Source organism: Homo sapiens, chromosome 13 (assembly GCF_000001405.40).
Source record: "Homo sapiens chromosome 13, GRCh38.p14 Primary Assembly".
Lineage (NCBI taxonomy): Eukaryota > Metazoa > Chordata > Mammalia > Primates > Hominidae > Homo > Homo sapiens.
This window is the reverse complement of record NC_000013.11, coordinates 90444423-90451087: the sequence shown is the minus strand read 5'-3', so window position 1 is coordinate 90451087 and position 6665 is coordinate 90444423. Positions and strand designations below refer to the sequence as shown.

The 6665-nt window shown below is 36.8% G+C and overlaps 1 annotated feature.

The window, feature by feature from the left end:
- Nucleotides 4979–6178: an enhancer, noted in NCBI's record as "MED14-independent group 3 enhancer chr13:91097164-91098363 (GRCh37/hg19 assembly coordinates)". NCBI's record gives its function as "activates an origin of replication core promoter dependent on BRD2, BRD4, P300/CBP and CDK7 cofactors, and independent of MED14, by STARR-seq in HCT116 cells {active_cell/tissue: HCT116}" and the evidence as "EXISTENCE:reporter gene assay evidence [ECO:0000049][PMID:35650434]".

Sequence of the window (6665 nt, the reverse complement as noted above, 5' to 3'; positions counted from 1 at the left end):
CAGAGTCAAAAGACAAAGACTTATAAGGTTTGATAAAGAAATCCAAGTCCAAGAAACAGGGGAGAGATGGAAATATATATTTTTAAGGTGTAAACAAACACCAGCCAAGCTCGTATACAAATTAGATCGAAGTGATCAGTCTCTTATCTGCTTAACAGAAGAAAATGGGAAAACTCTCTTGTGAAAGGGATCATCTGGCTACTCTACATTACCCAATATGCCAAGACACAGTTGTACAAAATGCACCCACATTCAAAATATTACCATATATATGTATATATATATACACAACTATATATATAGTATATACAGTTGTACAATGTGCACCCACATTCAAAATAATACTATATATATGTATATATGTGAGATATTGTTATTGATAAGCAAAAAAATAGCAACAATATAGAGTTAGCAGCCAAGGATTTTGAAATAGCCATATTTTATATTAAAGAAAATAGAAAAATGTGGACAAAAGAGGTGAATAATTAAAACATTCCAAAGTGAATTCAAATCTGTAAATTATAATGACTTTTGGTAAGGGGTTGACTAAAACTTAATAAAATGATATTACATAAACTTCAAATATAATAATAATCTTCTCTGTAGCCAAAGAAGAAAGCAACTTCAAGCTGAGAAACCTGGAAAAACAAAGTTAATTTCCATTCTCTAAATGAACTTTTTACTAGTATCTTAGCCAAAAAGTCCAGCCAATTTACACATGAACAAAATTAACTACAAAACCAACAATGTAAAATCTCCAATAAGTTACTACAAAGAAAAAAGTTTAAAAATAGGAATCAAACAATTTTGGTAGGGAAAAAAAAATGTCAGAATAAAAACACTTCCAGATGTAAAAGAACATCACAACACATGAGCAGTGAGAAAAGAGAAGACCAAACAATATGACTAAAAGGATTTAAGTCAAAAATTAAAGAAAAAGGTAAAAGTGGAACCAAAGTAAAAGTTATATTACAGGGGGAATAGATTTGATCGTAGAGATGTTAAATAATATAGAGTATGAACATTACAGAAGTTATGAAAGTAAAAAGGAAATGAAACAGTTAAAATACATCAGAATGAATTTCAAACTATAGATAGCCAAAGACAAGCTACCATGTATATAAATGAGTTCTTAAGGATAAAAAATAGTATGAGGTTAATAATTTAAATGATACTAAAAATATTGGGAAAAACAGGACCTACATCTACATTTTGGCAGTACACACCATGTACAAGAGAAAATAGACCTATAACAGTCAACTTGAGAAATATCCTAATAGGATTATTATAGAATACATGAAACAAAAAAAGTATTAGTGGATGCTAGGTATAAGAGTATGTCATTAAATTTAGGACAGAATAACAGACAAGTCTGAGATAACCCCTAAAATGGCTACTAATCTTGGTGAAAATATATTCCGAATTTTTCAAGTGATCAAGTAACAAATTGATTTGTTCAATTTTATTTATATTGATATATTTTCATTATTTTAACCTAAAAATACTACAGTATACACAGTTCTCTGCAATAGTTTCTCTTTTTCCTTCCGTTTTACTATTTTACCATGAACAATACACTTATCCAGAAATGATGCTTTAAAAAAAAATAGTTGAGTATATGTTGCTATCATATAGATCTAACACTGACTAGCCATTTTAACTTTTATCTATAATTAATGTATTTAATGCTATTGAGAAACATATACTGAGTAATTATTATGTTGGGGGCACCGTGTTGTAGTTCTTGGTGATATAGAAATGGATGAGAAAACCACGTGTCCTTTTGTTGTTAATCCTTCCAGCTGGAAAGACAGAAAACAAGTTTTTTTTGTTTGTTTCTTTGAGACAGGGTCTCGCTCTGTCACCCAGGCTGGAGTGCACTGGCGCAATCTCTGCTCACTGGAACATCCGCCTTCTGGGTTCAAGTGATTCTCCTGCCTCAGCCTCCTGAGTAGCTGGGACTACAGGCATGTGCTTCCATGCCTGGCAATTTGTCTTTTTATTTTTTTATTTTTTTTTATTTTTGGTAGAGATGGGTTTCCCCATGTCAGCCAGGCCAGTCTGGAACTCCTGGCTCAAGGATCTGCCCACCTCGGCCTCCCAAAGTGCTGGGAATACAGTCATGAGCTACCATGCTGAGCCAATTAAAAAAAAATCCTTGATGAGTGCTATAAGGAATTAAAACCACATAATGAGATAGTAAGTGACTGAGGGTCAGGTTGAAATAAGTCCCTTAAGGCAGGCTTGCATTTTTGAGGAGATGATATTGAAATTGAGACCTGAATGATGAAAAGCAGTCAAGCAGGAAACAATCTGGGAAGAGAATTCCAGGTAGAGAGAAACAATCACAATTATTCTCAATAGAAAAATGTTTGACATGTTTGAGGAAAACAGGAAATGATGGTATTTCCAGCAAATGCTGAACAAACTATTTGTAGTCCAGAGAGAGAAGCAAGGGTAGATTATAGGGCTATAGAGGACCATTAGTCTGCGGTAAGGAATTTGGATTTTATTCAAATTTTCTGTGGAAGTTATTTCAAGACTTTTTAAAAAGTTGACATTTACATATTTAACTGGTTCTCATGTGGAAATTATATTTAGAAGAGGTTCCTCTGAAAACCAGGAAACCAGGTAGGATTAAATCGCCCAGTTGAGTGTTGACTAAGATGGCAGTAATAGAAAAGAGGAAAAATCATCACATTTTCTATAAGTTGTATGGCGAGTTAATAGAACTTGCTGATAAATCAGATATAGATTAAGAAGGAAAGAGAGGAATTAAGCATGATTGACACATTTCGGGTCTGTACAAATGTATAAATAACATTAAGTAAAAAATGGAAGCTCTGAGAATGAGAGTGGGGATGTGTTTTGGATGTAGGAAGTTTGAGATACCAATTAGACATCCATGTAGAAAGGTCAAGTCAACAGCTTGATGGAAGCTTGGTGGAATTTGAATATAAATTGGAGAATCAATCCGCATACAGATGGTATTTGACAGTATGAGACTTGGTGAGATCAATTTGGAAAATTGGTGTCAATAGGAAAAAAATAATAATAATGAAAAGGAAGCTTGAATCTTAAGCTTAGGTCAAAACAGTATTAAGCAGTTCATGCAGAAGAGGTGACATCAGAGAGACCACAAACAGGAGGAAATCTAAAGGAGGAAAGAATTCAAGAATGTGGGAGTGGTCAACTATGACAAATCCTGCTGTGAGGCTGAGTTAGAAGACAGAAGGTGATTTACCACTGGGCTTGACAAAGTGTGAAACACAGTGATTTTTAAAAGAGTCCTTTTCATTAAGGGCCAGATAAATGATTTGGAGGACCCAGTGAAAAATAAAAATGTAGTACTCTTATTCGAACAACATGAATAATTTTTTCTTAAGGGTATCAAAATATAAGACATTTTTTCTTTCTGTCACAGTTTCCCTCTTAGCCTGCCATGATGTTTTTTGCTATTTAATGTTGCATTACCTTGGCAAGGAGATGATTGCCAAGAGAGTGCAAACACTCACAGGTGGCCAGGGGCCCATCCTGTGGCCAGGCAGGTGTATACCTAAGTGCATAGCCACCAAACCAGATCAACATGTTCACACAGAGGGAAGTGGAGGTTGAGCCAGGTAACTACCTTTCCCCAACAAGTTTTCTGAACCAGCTTTTGGTGGATGAGTGACCCCAGAACATTGCAACTTCTGCATTAGGACGTGCTTGGTATCTAGATTAGAGATGGGTGAGAGGCTTGATCACACAAGCCACCCACTGAATATGCCATCATGCTGAATGGCTGCTGCCCTGCTCTGCCCTCAGACAAGGTGGTGTATGCTTGCCTGACCTGCACTCTTTCTTCACCCAGGCCCCTGCTGAGGATGGCCACAGAGCAGAAGTAACTGGCTGGAGTGGAGAAGGAGGATGGATAGGAATCAGGGTGCCAGGGGCAAGGGCAAGAAATGGTGGAGAACACATCCCAGGGAAGCAGGAGGGTAAGGGAGGGATACTGTGTGTTAGTATGCTCAAAGATAAGCTTGTAAAAAATTGGGTCTCTCTGAGCAGACAGTCTTACATGTCTACACTGTCCCTCATCCATGAAGCTGGCTCTCTGTTCAGTGAGTTAGAAACTAACTTCTTAATTGAGTAGACTGGGGCATGCTTGTTATTCTTGTGATGTGACCATTTTGTGTTTTCAATAGGTTTTTGTTTTTTGAGACAGAGTCTCACACTGTTGCCCAGGCTGGAGTTCAGTGGTGTGATCTCTGCTCACTGCAAGCTCACCTCCCAGGCAGCAATTCTCCTGCCTCAGCCTCCCAAGTAGCTGGGATTACAGGTGCCCGCCACCACACTGGCTAATTTTTGTATTTATGGTAGAGATGGGTTTTTGTCCTGTTATACAGGATGGTCTCAAACTCCTGACCTCAGGTGATCTGCCCGCATTGCCCTCCCAAAGTTCTGGGATTACAGGTGTGAGCCACCGCATCTGGCCTTCAATAGGTTTTTAATTTATTTTCTTTAATTTGGCCCCTCTGAATGAAACTCCAAGTTCCATTGTTCCTTTTGTCAGCAGCAGCTGAGACACACGCTGAGCTTCTTGAGTTTATCAGGTATTGTTTTCTTCTGAGCTTCTTGTAATCTCACCTGCATTTGTGTAATTTAGTGGACATAAAAAAATTGAAGGATATTTATTAGAAGAATTTGGAATATTTCTCCAATGTAAGAATTTGGCTCTCAACTCACAGGGGCATCGATGAGCTTGGATTCCGTATCTTTTTTTTTTTTTTTATGCCGAATTTGTTCCTTTCTGTTCACCTCCAGCTGCCCCATGATTCCAGCACCACAGTTCTTCTAGGACTAAATCATCTGAAGGAAGAAACTACTTTTGGTAAAAATCTAGTGCCTTCAAATAGTTGGGCTTTATTGGTTTGGTGTATAATATTTTACATCTGTAGGAAGGTTAGTCCTATATAAATTATTCTGCCATTAATAGAGCTAAGACTTCATTGGATTCTTTGTTTAAAGAAATTGAAGAAGAAACCTGGGAGATGCTTTATATGTACATACAGACATACACACATGACATTTTCCTGTGTGTGTACATGTATATATATATATACATATACATACACACGTGTTTATGTATATATTTATGTATACATATACACACACACAGGGACAAATAATGTTACTGACCTTTATATCTTTTTGCCTAAATTTTAGACAATGTTTCTGGAGGTAGGGAGATCATTTTGTGGCCATAGAGCTCCAAGCATGATGAGTTCAGAAAGCCAATATGCTAAGGATGGCAGGGAAGAATGTCAAAAATAGCTTAGGGTTTTGGGAGCTTTCTTGACACTCTAGCCTTTAAATACTCAACTGCCGACTTCTTGTTAGATGTTTAAAATGTACTAAAATGTTTTCAGCCACAATCTTTTACTTTTGTGTCACTTGTAGCTGAACAATTCTTAATGGATTCAACTATTCTCTGACAAAATGTCACAGGATGTCAATAGAAGAATACGCTGATCATTATTCTTTAAGTGGTAGTCTCATATTTCTTGGTAATGTTTCTCTTTTCCTCTGCCTCCATTTCATTATCCTTGTAAACACATGTTCCGGGTGCCTATGATATATCAAAAGAGAGGGAGAGATAGAGAGAGATTTAAAGAAGTTGGCTCAAATGCTTGTGGGGCTGCCAAGTATGAAATCTGCAGGGCAGGCCAGCAGGCTGGGAATTCCAAGAATTAATGTTGCATTCCTGAGTCAGAAGTCAGCTTGGAGGCAGAACTCTTTCCTTTTCATGGAACCTCCGTCTTTTCCCTTAAGGCCTTCAACTGGGTGTGGCCTCCCACATTATGGAGGGTAATCTGCTTTACTCAAAGTTACTCATTTAAGTATTAATCTTATTTTAAAGAGACCTAAGCAGCAACATCTAATCTATTGTTTGACTAGACAATGGGCACTATATATATGTGTGTGTGTGTATATATATATGTGTGTGTGTGTGTATTTTGTTGAATCTATGGTGTTTATTGATTTCACAAATCTAATGCAATTTCATAAATTACTATAAGCCAGGCTAATTTTGATCTTCACTTAACATCTAGTTACTTTCATATAGGAACAATAATCAAATAACATATGAATATGAGATGCAGTGCAATGCATTTGTGATGGTTGTTTTTATGTGTTGACTTCACTGGGTCACAGTGTTGGGATATGTGGCCAAACAGTAGTCTCCATATTCCTGTGAGGGTAGTTTTGGACGCAACTAATGTTTAAATAAGTGGACTCTGAATAAAGCAGATTGCCTTCCACAATGTGGCTAGGCCTCATCCAATCAGCTGAAGACATGAAGAGAACAAAAGGCTGGCTTCCTAGACATCCTCTGCATTTTAACTACAGCATCCTTCGCTTACTCTTACTTGGTCCCCTGTCTGCTGGTCCACCCTGTAGGTTTTGGACTTGCCAGACTTTAAAATCACGTGAGCCAATTTCTTAAAATAAACATCTTTCTGTAAATAAAAACATCTTGTTTGTTCCTTTTCACTGGAGAACCCTGGTAATATAACATTTCTTCCAGTTTTGAGATTATTGATCCATTAATATCTGCTATTTGATGTAGAAAAGTTAGAAAAGAAAAAACATATTATTCATGTAGATTCAAATGTGCTGTT